The 22,200-nt window shown below is 39.3% G+C and overlaps 2 annotated features.

Annotated features, from left to right (window-relative positions):
* Positions 589–648: an enhancer, noted in NCBI's record as "active region_28572". NCBI's record gives its function as "activates an Ori minimal core promoter by ATAC-STARR-seq in GM12878 lymphoblastoid cells {active_cell/tissue: GM12878}" and the evidence as "EXISTENCE:reporter gene assay evidence [ECO:0000049][PMID:35858748]".
* Positions 20,816–20,985: an enhancer, noted in NCBI's record as "experimental_109072 CRE fragment used in MPRA reporter constructs". NCBI's record gives its function as "activates a minimal promoter by MPRAs in K562 erythroleukemia cells, with activity observed for both the introgressed and non-introgressed 9:93557301 variant alleles {active_cell/tissue: K562}" and the evidence as "EXISTENCE:reporter gene assay evidence [ECO:0000049][PMID:34662402]".

Genomic DNA, 22,200 nt, shown 5'->3' on the forward strand with positions numbered 1-22,200 from the left:
CCCTGGGGCCACTTATCCAAAGATTAAAGAATAAAATGCACATCAAGTTGTAAGCAGAGTATGTGACACTTCGTGTTCTAACAAATGTTGGTTATTATTGCTCCAACTTCCTCCTTGCAGATGCAGAAACTGAAAACTCTCAGGACTTGACATAGGGACCCAAAGTCACATGTCTGCCTAGGGATGAGGAGGGGAGTCATCCCAGGCCAAACCTCCCACTGTCCCCAAGGCATCCTGGGCTTTCATGAGCATCTTTAGCTCCATCCCCCAGTCACAACCCATCTCAGTGGACATGTGTCCTGGACACTGCGCCTGGCCTACCCCACTGCCCCACACAAGGAAACATTCCCTGTGGGCTGGGCCTAACGCTTTGCTCACATTTGCCCCCTACAGAGCAGTTCACCTGGAGGGTAGCACAGGTGCTATTCCCAAAAGGCCATGTGAAGCTAGTGCAACTGTCAAAGTGAGGAGGAAATTCCATAGGCCATGAGCAGCTGGGCTGGGGCGGTAGGCTCGAGGGCAGGGGCTATTAATGACTGAACCATAGAAAAGTCCATTTGTCCATTTTTCTATTCATTCACTCCCAAGTATTTTTTGAGCAGCACATGCTAAGCAAGTCTTCTCAGCACTCACATCGAAGAAAAGAGGTGGCCCTGGTCTGCAACACCCTTGGGCACCTGGTAGGAGGCCTGGTTCCCCTTTTATGTGGTTTGTCACACTCTCAGGACTGTGACCAAAACCAAATGAGGGCATTCCCATTAGATCCTGCTGAGGGAGCAGTGCCTCCAGTAAACAAGCTTGAGCAGGTGTGGTTCATATTAACTGAGAACCTCATGCCACCAAACAACACATGTGCTAGCAAGGGTTGCCCACACGTTGCCTCAACACCAGCGCTTGTCCTTCCTGTGTCCTTCCTTCTGGACAGCCACACAGCACTAGGGCCATTGTGCAAGAATCATTCAAATCGCCACCACTAATGGGTTTGGATTGAAATTCCAGAAATAATCCCAGCTTCACTACTTACTACCGGTATTCCTTCAATGGAGTGATTAATCTTTCCTGTCTCCAAATTCTCATTGGATCATGCGAGTGACAATACTTATTTTGCAAAATTTTTGTAAGAATTAAAGACAGAAAATATAAAGCCCCTGGTTGCCTACACAAAGTGGACACTGAGGAAATAGGAGCCATTGTTACTATTTCACACCTAAACGAAATACACGTATGGACAGAGTATATGTATAAATTCACATACACATATTGATGCATATAAAAATATGCATGCCAATTTCTGTTGCTGTATATAAAATATATAGTATTATACTGGAAAAGCGCAAAGAACATACACTGTAGAGATTATAAAAACTAAATATGTTTATCTTGCCAAATACAACGTTTGAAAAGATACTGCTTTGGGTCATGAAGACAGTTGCTTTCTTATCTCTTGAGTTAAGGAAAATATATATTTTATGGAAAGCTATGGAGGTAGCTACTAACTAAAAGCAAGACTTAAACTTCTTTTGAGGAATAAAATCAGTATCCTCATTTTTTTAATATTCTGAGGAAATAAAAGAGAAATCACATGTATGAATACATAGTTTAGGTCAACTTACATTTCTGCAATGTAGGATGCTGTAACCATGCTGTAGAAATATACTCCTACTAAAACCCTCAGCAGTCATCCCTTCCCCACCCCGAAAAAGAAGGTGTTTTTCAGTAGCATCTGCTACTTTCAGATGGTCAAGTGATGGCAGAAGTGATTTACAGTAACCACGTGCGTAAGGATATAGGGGCAGCCTAGCCTATGATCTCAGGAGCCAGACTGTCTGGCTCTGCCACTTCCTAGATGTCTGATCTTGAGAACCTTTTCTGCCAACCTGTGCCTCAGTTTCCTCTGCCAGAAAATGTAAAGAATAGCACCCTGACCTTATTTCAGATTTAAATGAGTTGATGCTTAGAGAACAGAACATAATTAGCACTGTTTGTGAAATAATGCTTTTTGAATTTATTGGCATTTTAAAAGTCCTTCAACTGAAAAGAGACCTCAAAGACTCTTGGAGAAATTGCACTTAACAATAAGGAAATAGGATACTTTATCAACCCAATAAGGAGCATCTATAGAAAACTTATAGCCTGTGTCATACTGATGGTGACATGAACACTTTTCCCTAAGATGAAAAAGGAGGTAGAAATGTTCACATCCACCAGTTCTACTCAAGGTTGTACTGGAAGTTCTAGGCATTGCTATAAGGCAAGAAAAATAAATAATTAAATAAAAAATATAAAGCTGGAAAAGGAAAATAAAACTTCCTCCATTTGCAGATGACAGGACTGTTTACATAAAAAAAACTAAGGAATTTACAAAGAAACCACTATAACACAAAAGTGAACTTACTAAGGTCTCAGGATACGAAGTAAATATATAAATTTCAATTGCATACTTATATAATATCAATAAAAAATGGTAAATGAAACTTACAAAAAAACCACATACCATTTTATAATAATATAAAATACTTAGAAATAAGTAAAGATGTGTAAGACCTGTACACTGAAAACTATAAAACATCACTAAAAGAAATTAAAAAGGACCTAAATTAATGGAGAGTTATACTATGTTCATAGATGGAAAGATTCACTATTGTTAAAGTATCATTTCTCCCCAAATTTACCTATATATTCAATACAATACCAACCAAAATCCAAAGAGGGCTTGTTTGTAGAAATTAACAAGCTAATTTTTTAATATTTATATGGAAATGAAAAAGACCTACAATAACCCAAACAGTCTTGAAAAATAAAATAGGGAAATAAATACCTAATTTCAAGTCTTAATGTAGTATGGTAATCAAGACAGTATGGTATTGGTGTAAGGATGAATAGATAATTAAACAGAATAGAAATTCCAGAAGTAGACCCACATGTATACAATTACAAGATTTTTGACAAAAGCATCAAAGCAATGAAAAAGGGAAAAGGAAAGTCCTTTCAAGAAATAGTGCTGAAACAACTGGATATTTGTGTAGAAAATTAATAACTCACTTCCTATTTTACACTATACAAAAAATTAATTCAAGATGCATCAGAGTTCTATTACACATAAAAGCAATAAAATTTCTCAAAATAATAAGAGAATATCTAATGTGGTAGGCAAAGTGTTCTCAGGCTGGTAAAAAACAGCACTCATCTAAAAATAAGAAAATTGTTCCATTTCATTTAATCAAAATTAACTTCTGCTTATCAAAAGACAATGATAAGAAAATGAAAAAGGTAGCAGTAGATTAGGAGAAAATATTTGCCAAATATGTATCAGACAAATGACTTCAATCCAGAATATATCTTTTATAGTTCTACAAATTAATAATCAAAAGACAATCTAATTTTTAATGGGCAAAATATTGGACAAACACTTCATAAAAAATAACAGAAAAGAGTTCATAAGCACATAAAAATATGTTCAACATCATTGGTCATCAGGACAACTAAGACCACAGTGAGATATCACCATCCCCTCACTAAAAGATAGTCAGATAACATCAAGTGTCGGCAAGGATGTGAAGCAACTGGAGCTCTCATACACTGCACAAATCTTGTACACAAAATGATACAACCCCTTTGGAACCTTCTTGGCATTTTCCCAGACAGCCATCTGCTCTATAACTCAGGAATTCTACTCTTAGATCCTAGGAACTTATCCAAGAGGAATTAAAATGTAAGTCCACAAAAAAGACTCACACAAGAATATTCATAGCAGCCCTATTCAAAACAGAAAAAAAAAAAACTAGACATAGCTCAAATATCCATCAACAGAACAACAAACAAATAAATATATATCTCTGTATAATTACAGTTGAAAAAAACAAACGAACAGTTTTTCTCCTACCATACTCAGTACAGAACACTTCTGGTCATCAAAGGACAGCGGGGTGTCCTTCCACTCAGTTTTAATCCGATACTATCTACCTGGAGATAGCATCAGATCACAGAGGTTGAGGGCTTAGTGTCACAAAACTCTTCCCCGTTTAGATGCCAGACCCAAGCCCCAGGTTGTGACCTGCACTTCTAGCCAGTTATAAATCAGGATTTTCAGCCGGGTGCGGTGGCTCATGCCTGTAATCCCAGCACTTTGGGAGACAGAGGCGGGCAGATCACGAGGTCAGGAGATGGAGACCATCCTGGCCAACATGGTGAAACCCTGTCTCTACTAAATTACACACACACACAAAATTAGCTGGGCGTGGTGGCGCATGCCTGTAGTCCCAGCTACTCGGGAAGCTGAGGCAGGAGAATCACTTGAACCCAGGAGGCGGAGGTAGCAGTGAACCGAGATCGCGCCACTGCACTCCAGCCTGGTGACAGAGGGAGACTCTGTCTCAAAAATAAATAAATAAATAAATAAATAAATAAATATATAAGGATTCCCCCTCCTCAGGTTAGATAATTTGCTAGGACAGCTGACAGAACTCAGGGGAACACTTTACTCACATTTACCCATTTATTATGGAGGATACTAGAAAGGATACAGATAAATACTCAGATGGAAGAGATGCATAGTGCAATGTATGTGAGAAGAAGCGCAGAGCTTCCATTGCCACTCCTGGGGCACCACTCTCCATTGTTCACCAATTCAGAAACTCCAAGTCTTGTCTTTTTGGGTTTTTGTGAATGTTTCATTGTAATGTTTCATTACATACGCATAATTGATTAATGTATGGGCCCTTGGTGATCAAGTCAGACTTCAGCCCCACTCTTCTCCCCAGAAGTCCACTTGGGGCTGAGAGTTCCAAGCTGCTAATCACATGATTGGTTCCCATGGCAACCAGCCCCATCCTGAGGCTATCTAGGAGCTCCCCATCCCCCATCAGTCATCTCCTTAGCATACAAAAAGGCATTTACCATTTTGGAGATTCCAAGGCAGATAGGAGCTGTACGCCAGAAAACAGGGACAAGACCAAATACAGTGTATTTCTTATTATAAGTCACAGTTATCACAATCAACAAAAAATAAATAAACAGCATGGCTGAATCTTAAAACCATGAAGTTGAGCAGATGAAACTGGACACACAAGAGTACATAAATGTGAATGACAGAGCCTTGGGAGACGTAAAAAAAAACTACATAAATGTAAGGATCTCATTTAAATAAAGTTCAAGAACAGAGAAAACGAATCTCAGATGACAGAAATCAATTTTTTTTTTTTTTTGAGACAGAGTCTCACTGTCAGCCAGGCTGGAGTGCAATGGCGTGGTCTCAGTTCACTGCAACCTCTGCCTTCCAGGTTCAAGCTATTCTCCCACCTCAGCCTCCCAAGTAGCTGGGACTACAGGCATGTGCCACCACACTTGGTTAAGTTTTTTTGTTTTTTTTTTTTTGTATTTTTTAATAGGCTCTAGGGGATTGGGGACTGGCTGCAAGGGGACAATTTCTTAGATGATGGAAATTCTCTATGTCTTGATCACAGTGATGGTTACCAATCCAAACAAAAAGAGTCAAACTCTGTAAAATATTTAATATTTTATTATGAGCTAAATATGGGCAACCAATGGTCCATGACACAGCCCTCAGGACATCCTGAGGACTTGTGCCCAAGGTGGTTTTATACATTTAGGGAAACCTAAGACATTAATCAATACATTTAAGATGTACATTGGTTCAGTCTCAAAAGCAGGGGCTTCCAGGTCATAAGCAGATTCAAAGATTTTCTGATTGGCAAATGGTTGGGGGAGTTAATATCTTAAGACCTGGAATCAATAGAAAGAAATCTGGGTTATGATAAGGGTTTGTGAATGCCAAGGTTTATCATGCAGATGAAGCCTCCAGGTAGCAGGGCTTCAAAGAGAATAGATTGTAAGTGTTTCTTCTCAGACTTAAAGAGTCTACCAGTCTTCAGGTCTCTGTGTTGATGTTAATTCTGGTCAGCTGTGAGACATGTTCAACACCCTCTTCCCACCAAACCCCTACTTCCATCATGGATTGAACTAGTTTTTCAGGTTAACTTTAGAATGCCCTTGGCTGAGAGAAGGGGTCCTGATTGGGGGCTTAGAATTTTGTATTTGTTATACATTCTCCCTCTTCTGGCCAAGATTTGCCAGAAGCAACATCAATGGACACCAAACTTTCACTGTGTCCCATAGCATTGCCAAAGTGGCATGGCTGTCTGCTCTGGGTCCCTCCTGTCCCTCAGTGGGACGCCTATGGCCAAGGGACTTAGAGCCAAAAGATGCATAGCCAATGTAAACGTTCTAGGCCAGACAGGGATGGATGTAGACAGGTGTTCGCTAGTCCTTAAAACATTTTTTCAGTAATGCAAGAGCCTACAAACAAAAAGCCAAAGACAAGGTTACAAATTGACTTATCTACCTCTCAATTCTATATGTTGAGCTACTGTGATCTTGGTTTTAGTTACAGACTTATTGCAATTAGCTATACAAAACATAAGCACTATTAAAGCCTTTTAAGCTAAGGAATTCAGAGACTTTTGCTGTGCCTCAATGATTTTTGCAGTATTTTACTAATTTGTCCCAAGACGGCTGATAATAAACGTTAAATATATATATATAGGCCGGGCGTGGTGGCTCATGCCTGTAATCCCAGCACTTTTGGAGGCCGAGGTGGGTGGATCACGAGGTCAGGAGTTCAAGACCAGCCTGACCAACATGGTGAAACCCCATCTCTACTAAAAATACAAAAATTAGCCAGGCATGGTGGTGAGTGCCTGTAATCCCAGCTACTTGGGAGGAGAATTGCTTGAACCTGGGAGGCAGAGGTTGCAGTGAGCCAACATTGTACCATTGCAGTCCAGCCTGGGTGACAGAGCTAGACTCTGTCTCAAAAATAAATAAATAAATAAATAAATAAATAAAATATATATATATGCATAAATCTCATAACTGGGAGTATTATACCCAGCAAGCTTTGTCACAAAGTGTCTTTATATCCTCTCAGTAATTTTCTTTTAATTCTATGGGAAGCAGGAAATTCTTTACGGTTAGGATGGACAAAAGGGTGCCACATACATAATAACACAGGAGGCACAGTCCCTTATTTTACCAGCTGTTTAGGTATCTGTGATTTGGAGGCTCTAAACTAATTCTATCCCACAAAACTGGCCCTTGCAATCTCACACACTGACGTCTTACGTGATAGTCCCTGGGCCTAGAGGGAGGGTGCTTGTATAGTTTTAGCAGCAGGGCATTTGCAATGAAAGACAGATGGGGCCCGGTGGGATTCCAAATGAGGGAGATTCACAGGCTTTGTCAAATTATCTCTAGTCTTATGAATATATGATTCTAATTTTCTCAGAAGTAAAACTACATGAGATAAATAACATTAGTAAACTTGCTAATCAAAACAGAATCTGTGTGTCAGAACAGAAAAAGGAAACTATTTCATTAGGGCAACAACTAAAAACATGAAGAAAATTATAAGCTGGTACTTTTTAGAGGATTATTGTAGGAAGAGATGTAATTCGATCTGCACTCTAAAACAAGTCGGGGCTGGAATTCAGTAACGGGTGTTACAGTTTTCCCTTGAAACAATTTTTCTCTGATTCTCTAGCCCTCCTTTTCTACTAAAGAGAAATTATAGTAAGACCAATTTGTGTGCAGAATAAGTTTTTGGCTTATTACACTTGGCTTGATTATTCACATAAAGCGCAGCAGGAATTACTTGGTTTGAAATGCTTGTTCTTTGGTGCCATAAAGAAATAGCACTTGAACATAAATTTAATTTATTTAGTAAGGCCACTTTTACTTCCTGCAGAAAGGGTACACTCGCCAGCAGTTTTGCCATGAGAGTACACTGAACAAAGGAGACAGGGTCATTTATAACCTGACGTGTCCACCCTACTGTTGTGTCCAGTTTCCATTGGCTGGAACAAGAGCTCGCATTCTGTATTTGTCCTGATTGGCTAGCAACTTAGAACTTTTTAAAAGAGGCAAAGGTAGAGGGGAACAAAGGAAGGAGGAAGTAACTAGTGGAAGGCTGAGAAAGGTAAAAACACTTTTAAATAAGGAAGAGGAACAGGCTATGACCTAATGCTTGCTTGGACCAGTATAAGCATGCCAGGGCAAATATTTAGGCTAAATTGTGGGAGCTAGGAACATAAATTGTATATTGATTTTTTTATTATGGCTAGCAGATATTTAAGAATGTTAGCACAGGTCTTTGAATAAATTTTGCTTCTAAGAGAAGTTACTATTTATTCCTAATTAGACGGGGAGGAAAGTCTTTGAAGAGGAACCTCTACTTTACTTTTTACAGTTGGCCATAGAGACTCTTTTCAAGTTGACTTTGCTGGAGCTTCACCTAATAATGTTATTCTAGTCAAAGCCTTGGTATAATAACCAGCACCTGCAATTGTGTCCTGTTTCAAAAGAAAGGGCTCTTATTAAACATGCCTTTACATATCACATATTTATCAGTTTACTGTTGATTGCCTATCTGCCTGCTAAACTGTTTGCTTCTGCAAAATAGAGACCTTGCCTGTCCTGCACCCCCAGAGCTTAGGCCTGCATAATGCTCAGTAGACATTGCATATATAATAGATGTTGGAAGAAGATGCAGTTGGCAGAGAGATGTAAGGACAATTTCTCATTGTTTTGTCAACATAAAGTATGTATGTTTTATATTGGAAAGCTGAGATCTTGAAAAAACTGTATACAAAAATTTTTGCAGGTATGTCTCTGTTTCTCCATATTGAGCTTCCACTTTTGATGATTGTAGAAATGTGCTGTAGAATGGATTAGACCATGTTTTTTTGTTTGTTTGTTTGTTTGTTTTGAGATGGAGTTTCGCTCTTGTTGCCCAGGCTAGCGTGCAATGGCACAGTCTCCACTCACCACAACCTCCACCTCCTGGGTTCAAGCGATTCTCCTGCCTCAGCCTCCCGAGTAGCTGGGATTACAGATATGTACCACCACACCCGGCTAATTTTGTATTTTTAGTAGAGACGAGATTTCTCTATGTTGGTCAGGCTGGTCTCAAACTCTTGACCTCAGGTGATCTGCCCACCTCAGCCTCCCAAAGTGCTGAGATTACAGGTGTGAGCCACTGCACCCAGCCAATTACACAGTGTTTTAAAGACAAATAAATATGTGAATTTTGTATTAAAGTTCAGCTGCTCTTCACCTAAGAAATATTCATCAAGTAAGAAGTATCTGGCTTGGGTAATTGTTAACTAAAGAATCATGAGATTCATAAATTTGGAGAGGAGAGTGTTATTTCTTATAAAGGCTTGCATCCAGCAGGCTGCCCACTGTGCAGGCTGGGAAGCATAGCTTCTGGTAGAAACCAAAAGCAGGCACTTTGAAAGAGGGAAAGGTGAGACAGAAATTTGGGCTGAATGGGCTAGCTAAGTATACATATTCAATAGTTATAGGAAGGGCTGAGAATAATTATGAAGGGGGTGCACACATTCATAGCAAGCAAACATCCATGTTACATTCATCTCATATTCATTTGGGGTGAAGACTTACATTTAATTGCATTATAATTTCACTCTGTATGTCACAAAGTGAAAGCAAGGACACAGGGGCATGTTGTCTGCAGCCTGTGAATACCTGCCAGAGCCAGTCTACGGCCAGTGGTCTTTTATCAGGAAGGAATGCCAGTCAGTTGTTGTGTAAATCAGAGGTGAAGCGAGTCTTTCAAAAGAGCTGGTTTCTGTCTGTTAGAGAAGGAAGATTGATGGCAGTAAGGGAGGTGGCATAACAAGGCGTGTCCCACCTCCTGTGTGCCTGGCATGGCTGGCAACTCAGTTTTTAAGGCTTCTCTGAGGCTCCTTGGACAAAGAGGGAGTCCATTCAGTTAGTTAGGGGACTTAGAATTTTATTTTTATTTCTCAGAATTTATCTAGGAAAGTTAGATGGTAGATCGTAAAGGTGCAGAATGTCATGTTAATTTGGCTTGCTATCGAGATGTATCAGAGTACAACAATAACAGTGTTATCAGCTGTATACTAAAAACATCCTTGGTCAGCAATATCTCAGACATTTTCCAAGGACAAAAGTATTAAATTTCATAAAGAAATAGCACGCTTTCAAATAACACTCCCAGGGCTTGACACGTGTATAAGAAAATCTAATTCCCAGGCACATTTCCCAGTAAGGCCATGAAAATAGCCGCGGAATGTGAAATATACACGTGACTGCCATCCTAATTTGGATGTTTCTTTAACACCCACAAGAAGGATGATAACTTCTCTCCCCCTAGCTCCTATTACGCCACTCCAATATGCACCCTGGACCTCAAAGATCATTTCTCTTTCCTGCATCCAGATAAAAGGTCACGATTCCTGGTGCCTGGTGTGCTCTGGACCACAGTGTATTTCCCAAGGTAGTCACGACCCCTTTAATGGACCACAGTGTATTTCCCAAGGTAGTCACGACCCCTTTAATGGCAGACTCTGCCTGCAGACTGCTGGTGCTGAGAGGGTGCTGGTGCTTGTGCACATAGCAAGAAGTGAAATAGAAATGACTGAGTTTGTTTTGTGCAGCATCACCACTGTTCTCGTAAAGAATGAACTATATAAGCACATAAGAACTACAAAGTGCAAATTGTGTAATTTTGGTGATTCCGCATACGAGTCCAATGTTTTTATGTTTACATTTAAAACTGGCATAACAAATTCTATGTAAAGATAAATGGTAAAGTCCGTATTAATAATTTATAATTTCTATTTTTATTTAGTTAGAATGACATTCAATAGCAAATTTAAAAAAACACTGACATCTTGAAAGAGACAACAGAAGAGAAAAAAGGTTTTATATTTTAATACCTTTAATGGCCATTTTATTTTGCTTTTTGAACCAGGATCCATTTTTTATTTTGTACTGGGCCCCACAGATTATGAAGTTGGCCCTAGGCACAACCTCACACCACTACCTGTTCTGGTTAGCTATTACTAGGTAAGCTATGTAACATATTACCCCAAAACCTGGTGCCTTGAAACAACAATCATTCTTAAATATCTCACGATTTTGTGACTCAGAAGCTCAGGCGGAGCTCAGCTAGGTGATTCTTCTGCTTCACATGGCATTAACTAGGCACTCAGCTGGCTTTCAGGCTGTTAACACAGCCTTGGCAAAGATTGGGGAAGACTGGGCTCAGCTTTGCACCTCCAACTCTGCCCCACCCTTTGGCCTCTCCAGCAATCTTTGGAGTTCTTACATGGCAGTTCAGGGTTCCAAGAGACCAAGACCTAAGCTGTCCATCCTCTAAAAGGCTAGGCTTAAAATAAAAATGCCGTCACTTCTGCCACACTCTCTTGGTCAAAGCAGTAATAGGGCAGCCCAGATGCAAGAGGGAGAGTCTATTACACATCAGGAAACCAAGGCCCAGAGAGGCTCAGTAACTTGCACAAAGTCACACAGCTAGTAGGTTATAAACTTGGGAGTTGAACCAAATCTGGCTCCACGGTCAGTGCTGTAGGCCACTTTGCCATGCTGGTAATAGTAGTCTCCAAACACCTAAACTGTGTGACAATAAAGGACAAAGTCTTAACTTCAGAAAGCAGCTTTAACCCACACACACAAAGAGAGAGAGAGAGATGTCTTAGGAAGTAAAACGTGTGAAAGAACTTTATAAATATTGGAGTTCTCCAAAACTGTAACTTAGAGATTCTAAAACCTCTTCTATCCTAGAGACAGGACCCCGGAGCAAAATTGCTGGATGTACCTCTGCCCCCAGGGATGGAGCAAACCAGTCCCAGAGCAAAGCTGACATCTGGAGGGGACTTGTGCACCAGTGATGATGCACACACTGAGATGCTGAGTGCTATCCATCCCACTCTCAAAATAGAAGCGTGAATCCCCCAACATGGTGCCAATCAATGATTGGTGGGTTTGAGTTATTCTCAAAACTGAATCAGAGAATCTGTTGTCTATGAATCCATACACATACGTATTTTCTATGTGTACTGATAATAAAAGTTAAAATCTCATCTTGTGAGGGGAGAAGCTTTTGCCCTCAGAGTTTCTCAAATCCTGAAAAAAAAAATTATAATGAAGCAAAATTACAAAGCTGTAGTAATTAAAGCAGCAACATCCTATTGGATATTAGATAGATCAATGAAAAGCAAAAGAAACACCAGAACTAAACCCAGGTGTTTAAGCAATCTGGCATTTGATAAAGCTTAAGTACCAATCAGTGAGGAGAAGATGGATTGTTGGATAAACTGACTAACCACTAGGGAAAAAGAAATAGAATCTCTATCTTGCTCCTTATGACCAAACAAAATCCCAAATGGATTACAAATAATTAAATGTGAAAAGGTGGCCAGGTGCTATGGCTCACGCCTGTAATCCCAGCACTGTGGGAGGCCAAGATGGGGAGATCACGAGGTCAGGAGTTTGAGACCAGCCTGGCAAACATAGTGAAACCCCGTCTCCACTAAAAATACAAAAAAATTAGCCAGGCATGCTGGCGGGCGTCTGTAATCCCAGCTACTTGGGAAGCTGAGGCAGGAGAATGGCTTAAACCCAGGAGGTGGAGGTTGCAGTGAGCTGAGATAGTACTATTGCACTCTGGCCTGGGCGACAGTGCAAGACTCAAAAAAAAAAAGGAGTGAACATTTTTATATATTTGGAATAACAAAGGTATCAAAGCTAGAAATCATAGTTGATTTTTTTTCCATATAAAACGTTTAAATCATATTGTTGGCACAAATAAATGAATAAATAAGAGAAAACTAAAGAATGAACTCGAGAAAATGTTAATAACATAATTGATGAACATATAATCCATTAAAACTTTGTAAATCAATAAAGATTAGTATCTCATAAAAAATATTGAGAAATTTGATGAATAAGGATTTTACAAAAGAAATAAATATGAACAGTCAACAAACATATAAAATAGTTTTCAACTTCTATAGTTAAAATGATACAAATTAGAAACAAAAATGAGATCTCTTTTACCTCTAGGATGAGAGGTAAAACAAAAATGAGATCTCTTTTACCCCAGAATGAAAACATTAATAATGCCTAGAACTAATGGCTCTAGGTAGCAGAAATGCCTGCCCTCACAGCCTGACACCAGGAGCTTGCCTGTTCCTATAGAAACTGTGTATGATGAAGGGACAGGCACCCCTTCCTTGGGGCAGATGCAGCTCCCTGCTGGTCAAACAGAGGGTGGTCTAGGTTTCAGCCCCACCAGACTCAGAGAGCACCCCTGTGCTGAGCACAGCCTGTACCAGGTGGAAGTATAAACCAGAATTGAATCTTTCCTAAGTGCAATTTAGCAACAAATGTCACAAATAAAACAGCATCTCCTCTGACTCTCAACATTTCTCCTAGGAATTTATCTCTTAGAGAGATTTATCAAGGATCAAAGATGTATAAACAGGAGTGTTCCCTGTATAGTAGGTCATAATAACAAAACCCTGGAAACAACTGTGTATCAGTCAGGGGTTGGTTAATAACCTCATGGTTCATGCATTCAAGAGAATGATATATAGTCAATAAGAAGACAGTATGGAAGTATTTCCACAACATGCTATCTAATCCAATAGTCAGCTTACTAAATCACATATGTAACAACATTTACACTTACATTTCTGTATGTAGAGACAGATACTAAAATATTAACAAAAGTTGGAGCATATTTGCCTCTAAGATTGGGATTTGGGGTGTCTTATATTTTACCCCCTTTATTAATTTTTCTATTATATATTATTTTTGAAACATCAGAGGGTTCTTTATCAAGTCTGTTCTACTTACAAATTCTGCACTCATTTATCCCTACCTGGCCTCAAAGCCCCCAGAGTTTCCTTGAGATCTATTTTGTCTTTGACACAAATCACAGAGCACCCCGTTTGGAGAGGAGTGAGCTGCATCTTGAGGACTCACAGACCCAGAGGTGAAAGTGTAGCCAAGAGTTCAAAACTGTGGACAATTATGGTCAATCAATCATCTCTTCCATATCTACTTGGCAATCAAGTTTTACAGCTACCTGGGTTAATAATAACAAAATATACATAACTTAATAATCTTGTCATTTTGAATTTAGTTTCACGGTAGCAACCTCGACCCTAGATCAAACTTGGAAATTGAAATCAATCAACTCTTTCAAACATTTTTCAATAAAACAGATGTGTATGGACAAGCAGGAAATGCCTATTCATACTGAAACATATTTGAGTCAGAAAATATAATCTCTGTTCCTTGTTTCTAGGCAGTTTTTTCCGAGTACACTTAAAATAGATGATGATTCCCAGTGTAGTAATATGTAACAGAATTTAACATCCATTCATTTAATATTTTATATTAGAAGACTCTCCAAAATAATGTTATAATTTTTCTCATTTTTCTTTTATATTTAGCTAAATTTGCCCTGTGGGTCACTCATCATACCATGTATGAACTTCAATAAGCAAATCCATTTGAGTACCGTCAAACTGAAAGAAAATCCCAGTGTAGTAATATGTAACAGAATTTAACATCCATTCATTTAATATTTTATATTAGAAGACTCTCCAAAATAATGTTATAATTTTTCTCATTTTTCTTTTATATTTAGCTAAATTTCCCCTGTGGGTCACTCATCATACCATGTATGAACTTCAATAAGCAAATCCATTTGAGTACTGTCAAACTGAAAGAAAAAGACTAGTTATTTGTCACACAGTGTCGGTTGTGTAAGATTAATTTTCTGCTGTCTGGGATAGGCATCTGTAATCTTCAGCATAGGCTCCAAGGAGGGCACAAAGATTATTTGTCTGGGTCAGGAATGAGGAGGTTGCTACTAATACTTCAGCCCCAAGAAAATCTGACAGTAGGAGGCCTATATCCTGGCCCATGTTCCTCAGGTCCTTGGAATCTGGTTGGCCAAAGTGTTCCACCTGGTATTTTCCATGCCCTGTCCTGCCTGCCCAGAGAGGCACACACTGCTTTCCCCACCCCAACCCCATCAATAAAAACCCTTTAACTTCAGTGCCTCAGGAAAAAAGAAGAGAAACAGTTCTTGAATGAAAGAGTGGATAGTTTCGTCGAAACTCTCTCCAATGAAACAATTCTTTGAGTGGCAAAAATTATAAAAAATAAAACACGTAAAAATCTCTGGGAATTGTCCTAAAGACACACAGCAAGTAGAAAACTATTTATTTGAGAAAAATGATAAAATATCAGTAAGAACACAAGAGCCCGCATCATCTGAGCCATGACCTGCTCTCATCTCCTCCCCGGTGTTCAGCATAACACAAGCTCTACTCTGGGTGGAGGCTGCCAAGAAGATGGGTGTGCTCTCCCCCAGCTCCAGTCTACAGCTCCAGTTTTACCCCAGCAGGGGCAGGCCTTGGGCCTCTCCCATCCCCTCACCCCCATCTTCTGGTTGCAGAAACTGCATCCCAGGACACCCATCTCCCGGTTGCAGAAGCTCCATCCCAGGAAACTGCATCAAGAGAACTGGGGCTCCCTTCCCCCACCAAGCCCCCACTCGTAGAGTGGATGCTTTACCCCAGGGACTCTAATTGCCACTTCCCTAGCACCCTTATAAGGCAGAAGTTCCACTCATAGAAGGCTACTGACCCCACCCAGTGCCCTGCTAGTAGAGTCAGGGTATCAGCCCAGGAGAACCAGGCCACTGTCTCCACTCCCAGGTCCGGTGCAAGAGAGCAGAGTTTCTTCCCAGTGGAAAGGCAGGTTGTAAGAGCAGAGAGCTCCCTAGCTCACCCTAAGGGGGCCGACTTTATTTGAAATAGAGGACAAAGTCCCAGCTAAGTATTCTCAAAAACAAGAAGGTCCTTAACAATTAAAAGGAGCAACAAGTAAAACATAGATGCCAGGAGCAACAATGATGCCAGGAGCAACAAGAGAAACATAGACCAGCTGGAACACTAACAGAGGAAAAGAGGCAGTTCGGAGGTCTCCCGATGTGGGAGCAAGCCTCAAAGACTGGTAACAGCTGTCCTGCAAACAGCACTGACTTTAATGGGATTTGACTGGAGGAATTTATACCTTAGGGCATTGTTGAGAACAACAGAGAAATCAGCAGGCCACTAGAACAGGCTAAGATCTGTTGTGACACCAATAACAAACCGGACATAAGCTCAACAAGGAGATTAGAGACAGAGAGAGCCAAAGCGATCCCCACTCAGACCACAGTCATCCTGATGGTCAGAGAGACAGTTTCCACACCCAAGATGGCACTCACGGAAGAGCAACATCATAGGCTGCACATTGTCAGGGAAATAGATTTCACTGGAGTCCAGCCAAGACCCTAAACACATGCTAAAGCAAGCAACAACAAACCCTCAGAGGGCAATCAGTAACAGACGTGCTATAATATATTATCAAAAATGTTGGCTTTTCTTTTCTTTTCTTTTTTTTTTCTTTTGAGACAGAGTCTCGCTCTGTTGCCCAAGCTGGAGGGCAGTGGTGTGATCTAGGCTCACTGCAACCTCTGCCTCCTGGGTTCAAGCAATTCCCCCGCCTCAGCCTCCCACGTAGCTGGGACTACAGATGTGTGCCACCACACCTGGCTAATTTTTTTGTATCTTTAGTAGAGACAGGGTTTCACCATTTTGGCAAGGCTGGTCTTGAACTCCTGACCACAAGTGATCTGCCCACCTCGGCCTCCCAAAGTGCTGGGATTACAGGCATGAGCTACCATGCCCAGCCTAAAATGTTGAGTTTTCAACAACAAAATAGTGAGACACTCATAGAATCAGGAACATATCACTGGGACATAAAAAAACAGGCAATGGAAACTGCCTTTATAAGGACTCAGATGGTGCATTTAGCAGACTTCAAAGGAGTTATTATAAATATTATTGACAAAAAGAGTCAAACTCTATAAAATATTTGAAGAGATTTATTCTGAGTCAAATATGAGTGATCAATGGCCTGTGACCACAGCCTTCAGGAGATCCTGAGAACATGTGCCCAAGGTGATTGGGCCACAGTTTGGTTTTATACATTTTGGGGAGACATAAGACATCAATCAATATGTGTAAGATGTGTATTGGTTTGGTCCAGAACGGTGGGACAACTGAAGTGGGAGTTTCCAGGTCATAGGTGCATTCAAAGCTTTACTGATGACAGTTGGTTGAAAGAGTTATTATCAATAGAAAGGAATGTCTGAGTTATGATAAGAGGTTATGGAGACCAAGGTTTTATCATGTACATGAAGCCTCCAAGTAGCAGGCTTCAGAGAGAATTGATTGTTAATGTTTCTTATTAGACTTAAAGAGTCTTTTAGTACTATTCCAAAAAGGAGGAGGGTGTGATAAGGTATGTACAGCACCCCCTATCATGGCTTGAATGGGATTTTCAGGTTAACTTTGGAATGCCCTTGGCCAAGAGGAGGGGGTCCATTCAGATGGTTGGAGGAGGGGAGGCTTAGAATTTACTTTTGGTTTATAATATGTTCCAAGAAGTAACGAAAACCATGCTTTAAAAAATAAGCTAAAGAAGATCCACAAAAGGACCACATTCATTGATAAGAATATTTAATATTTATTCTCAAATTGATGTAGAGATTCAACACAAGCCCTATCAAAATCTCAGCTTTTGTTTTCACATAAATGGACAAGCTGATCCTAAAATTCATATGAAAATGCAAAGGAACCATAATAGCCAACACAATATTGAAAAGGAACAAAGTTGTAGGACTCAAACTTCTTAATTTCAAAGCTTACTACAAAGTTGCAGTACTAAAAACTCTTTAGTACTTGTAAATGCCTGATGGGTTCTTCCTGCTTACTGCACAGGCAAAACCAATTTATTGAGACCACACCATCACAATAAAAGAGTTTAATTGACACAAGGCCGGCCACACCACATGAGAGATGAAGTTACTACTCAAATCAATCTCGGAAAATTTGGAGGCTAGGATTTTTCAAAGATAGTATGGCAGGCTAAGGAGTCTGTTTCTGGGTGGGAGCACATGACTGGTCCGTAGGGTTGGTGGGGTCAGGGAGGTCAGTGGGGTCAGCAGGGCCAGCAGGGTCAGCAGGGTTGGTGGATCCAGGTGAAGCCATTGGTTGTCAGAAATTCAAAAACCTAAAAGGTATCTCAAAAAGCGAATCTTAGTTTCTGCAACGGTGATGTTATCTGCAGGAGTAATTGGGAAACTTGCAAAACTTGTGACCTCTAAATAATAGCTGGTAATCATTTATGTCTACACCTTAGCAGAATTCAGGCTCCTCACACCCTCCTAACCTGGTGGCCTTTCACAAGCTTTACAAAGGTGGTTTAATTTGGGGAAAGGACTATTGTCATTTAAACTATAAACTAAATGTCTCCCCAGGATAACTTAGCTCAGACCCAAGAATGGTTAAGGGCAGTTTGGAGGCTAATGGCAAGATGAAACTTGGTTAGATCAGATACTTTCCACTGTCATAATTTTCCCACTGTTATAATTTTTGAAAAGGTGGTTTTAAGTTAGAATGGCAATCATTAAAAAGTCAGGAAACAACAGGTGTGGAGAGGATGTGGAGAAATAGGAACACTTTTACACTGTTGGTGGAACTGTAAACTAGTTCAACCATTGTGGAAGTCAGTGTGGCGATTCCTCAGGGATCTAGAACTAGAAATACCATTTGACCCAGCCATCCCATTACTGGGTATATACCCAAAGGACTATAAATCATGCTGCTATAAAGACACATGTACACGTATGTTTATTGCGGCACTATTCACAATAGCAAATACTTGGAACCAACCCAAATGTCCAACAATGATAGACTGGATTAAGAAAATGTGGCACATATACACCATGGAATACTATGCAACCATAAAAAATGATAAGTTCATGTCCTTTGTAGGGACATGGATGAAATTGGAAATCATCATTCTCAGTAAACTATCGCAAGAACAAAAAACCAAACACCGCATATTCTCACTCATAGGTGGGAATTGAGCAATGAGAACACATGGACACAGGAAGGGGAACATCACACTCTGGGGACTGTTGTGGGGTGCGGGGAGCGGGGAGGGATAGCTTTAGGAGATATACCTAATGCTAAATGACGAGTTAATGGGTGCAGCACACCAGCATGGCACATGTATACATATGTAACTAACCTGCACATTGTGCACATGTACCCTAAAACTTAAAGTATAATAAAATAAAATAAAATAAAATAAAATAAAATAAAATAAAATAAAATAAAATAAAATAAAATAAAGAAAAGGTAGTTTTATAAAGATAAATATACAGATCAATGAAATAGAATTGGAAGTCTGGAAATAAACCTTTACATTGATTTTCAAAAAGTGTGTCAACTCAATTAGGACAGAATAATTGTTTTAACAACTACTGTTGAACTGGTACAACTGGAAATCTGCATGCAAAAAAAATGAAATTGGATCTTTGCCTCATATTGTACATGAAAATTAACTCAAAATGGATGTTGGGCATAAATGTAAGAGTTAAAACTATAAAATTCCTAGAGGAAATCATAGGAGTAAATCTTCATGACCTTAGATAGTAGTTTCTTAGCTACATCACCAAAAGCATAAACAACAAAAGAAAAAAGTCGATAAATTGAACTTCATCAAAATTAAAAACTTTTATTCTGCAAATGATACCATCACAAAAGTGAAAAGACAACTCTCAGAACAGGAGAAAATATTGGGAAATTCTATATCTAATAAGAGACTTGTATTCAAAATATGTAAAGAACTCTTACAACTTAATGATACAAAGATAAGTGACTCAATTGAAAACTGGGCAAATGATCTGAATAGACACTTCTCCAAAAATATGCAAATGACAAAGAAGCACATGAAAAGATTCTCAGCATTGTTAGTCATAAATGAAATGAAAATGAAGTCATCAGATACCACTTCACGCCCACTAGGATGGCTATAATCAAAACGACAGACAATAACAAGAGTTGACAAAGATGTGGAAAAATTGGAACCCTCCTGTTTTGCTGGTGGAAACCTGAAAATGGTGAAGCCACTTTTGAAAACAGTTATCAGTTCCTCAAAATGACAAACATAGATTTACTATATCACTCAGCAATTCCACTCCTAGTTATATATTCAAGAAAAAAGGAAAATATACACCCACACAAAAACTTGTATAGGAATGGTTGATGCAAAATTATTTATAGTAGCCAAAGAGCAGAAACCGATGAGTGGATAAATAAAATGTGGCCTATCCATACAATGGAATATTATTTGGTACTAAAAATGTAAAACACTGATGTATGCTATAACATGAATGAAAACATTATGCTAAGTAAATAAGCCAGTCACAAAGAGCACATATTACATCATGCAATTTATATGAAATGTCCAGAATAGGCATGTCTACAGAGACAAAAAGTAGATGGGAGGTTTTCCTAGGGCCTTGGATGGGGAGGAGGGAAAGGATTGTGTGGGATGGGAAGCATGAGAAGTGATATGGGTATGGGGTTTTGTTTTGTGGTTTAAAAAAGTTCTTCCAGGTGCAGTGGCTCACATCTGTAATCCTAGCACTTAAGGATGCAGTGGCAGGAGTATAGTGTGAGCCCAGGAGTTTGAGACCTGCCTGGGCAATATAAAGAGACCCCATTCTTCACAAAAAAGAAAAAAAGTGCTTAAAAAAGTTCTAATATTGATAGTGATGATGGTTGTACAACTTTGTGAATACACTTAAAACAATTTAATTGTATACTTTCAACAAGTAAACTGGATGTTATGTGAATTATATCTTTTGAAAACTTAAAAATGGAACCGCACTTTGAAAAATATAAAAAAGAAAAAGAATGAAAAGATCTTGGTATGAGAAAAACCATCTAATTTTCACTACAGTGAAAAATAACAGCTGAACTACCTTCTAATTATATAATTATATTTTAAAAGAGTACTCTGTTAAGCAAATGATTAGCTACCCATTGAAATAGATGAAAGGGAGGAGTTATTTTTGAGCATAAGTTTTTTCCATCCTTTTGAATCTCCAGTGGCTTGGGTCATGTCTGGCAAGTAAAGGACCCTAATTCAATTATTGAATTGTTTGCTCCCTGGAATTTCACAAAAAAATAAGGAATCAGGTACACAGAGGAAACTTGACTTGCTCAGAGCTGCACACCTACAAAAAGTAGCAGAGCTGAGACTACTATGGCCCGTGCTTCCTGACCCGTGGCCAGTGCACCTACCGCTGGGTTTAAACACATGTGATCACACTTCAGACACTATCTTTGGTCTTTAAGTAACTTTTCTGTTTTGTTTGTTCAAAAGATTACTAACAAAAGAAAAATGAGGAAGTTTACCATTTGTAGGTGAAAAGTCACTTTTATATCTGGTTGAATTGGTTAGGGAATACCAGCAGAAGGAAGTTGTTCCTCTGGCTACATCCTGTGTCATTTCAGCAACTGGATGAATGTGATCAGAAGGTGAAAATCACTGAGAGAAGCCACTCACCTCCATCATGCTGGTCTATCAAAATTAACTTCCCTTCATAGGACACAATAGGGTTGTTACTTTTTTTTTAAAGGTATACCTACATATGAAAATAATTAATTTTATCTAAATTTAATGTAATATGCATAAAAATACACCTGATGCTGTCCTAACTATGCAATATTCTCCTTTGTGTGTCAATAAAAGTGTATTATTTCAATACATGGAGTTGGTTATTATTTTACTTGCAACCTAAAGCACCTTAACAGATATATCATGTGTAACTTGTGTATTTTTTTAATTTAGAAGAGACAAAAATGAGGACCTTACATTCTAAATATTAAAATGTGCAATCACATGAGTCCAGGAGTTTGAGACCAGCCTGGCAACGTAGTAAAACCCCATCTCTACTAAAAATACAAAAAGTCCCAGCTACTCAGGAGGCTGAGGTGGGGGAATCACTTGAGCTGGGGAAGCCAAGGCTGCAGTGAGCTGTGATTGCGCCACTGCACTCCAGTCTGAGTGACAGAGTAAGACCCTGTCACAAAAAAAAAAAAGTACAGCGTATATTCTATAGTAAAAAACATGTGGGCCATTACATTCTGAAAGAACATAGTGAAACATTTACAGAATATCAAGGCCTCACCATCTAGAAGAAAAGAATCCTTACTTTCCTCATCTTTCTACCTCAAGAAAAAAGGGAAGCGGGAAGAAACAAAAGTGCTAAAGTTACAAGTGGTAACCAAACAAGAAAAGGAGAACCGCTTAACAAAATGCACTTTGAAAAGCGCTGGCTCATATAAAAACCAGAAGTTTGAGAGTATCACAATGAGGCCACACTCCAACCTCCCAGAAACCATATATTGTGCG

Source organism: Homo sapiens, chromosome 9 (assembly GCF_000001405.40).
Source record: "Homo sapiens chromosome 9, GRCh38.p14 Primary Assembly".
Taxonomy (NCBI): domain Eukaryota; kingdom Metazoa; phylum Chordata; class Mammalia; order Primates; family Hominidae; genus Homo; species Homo sapiens.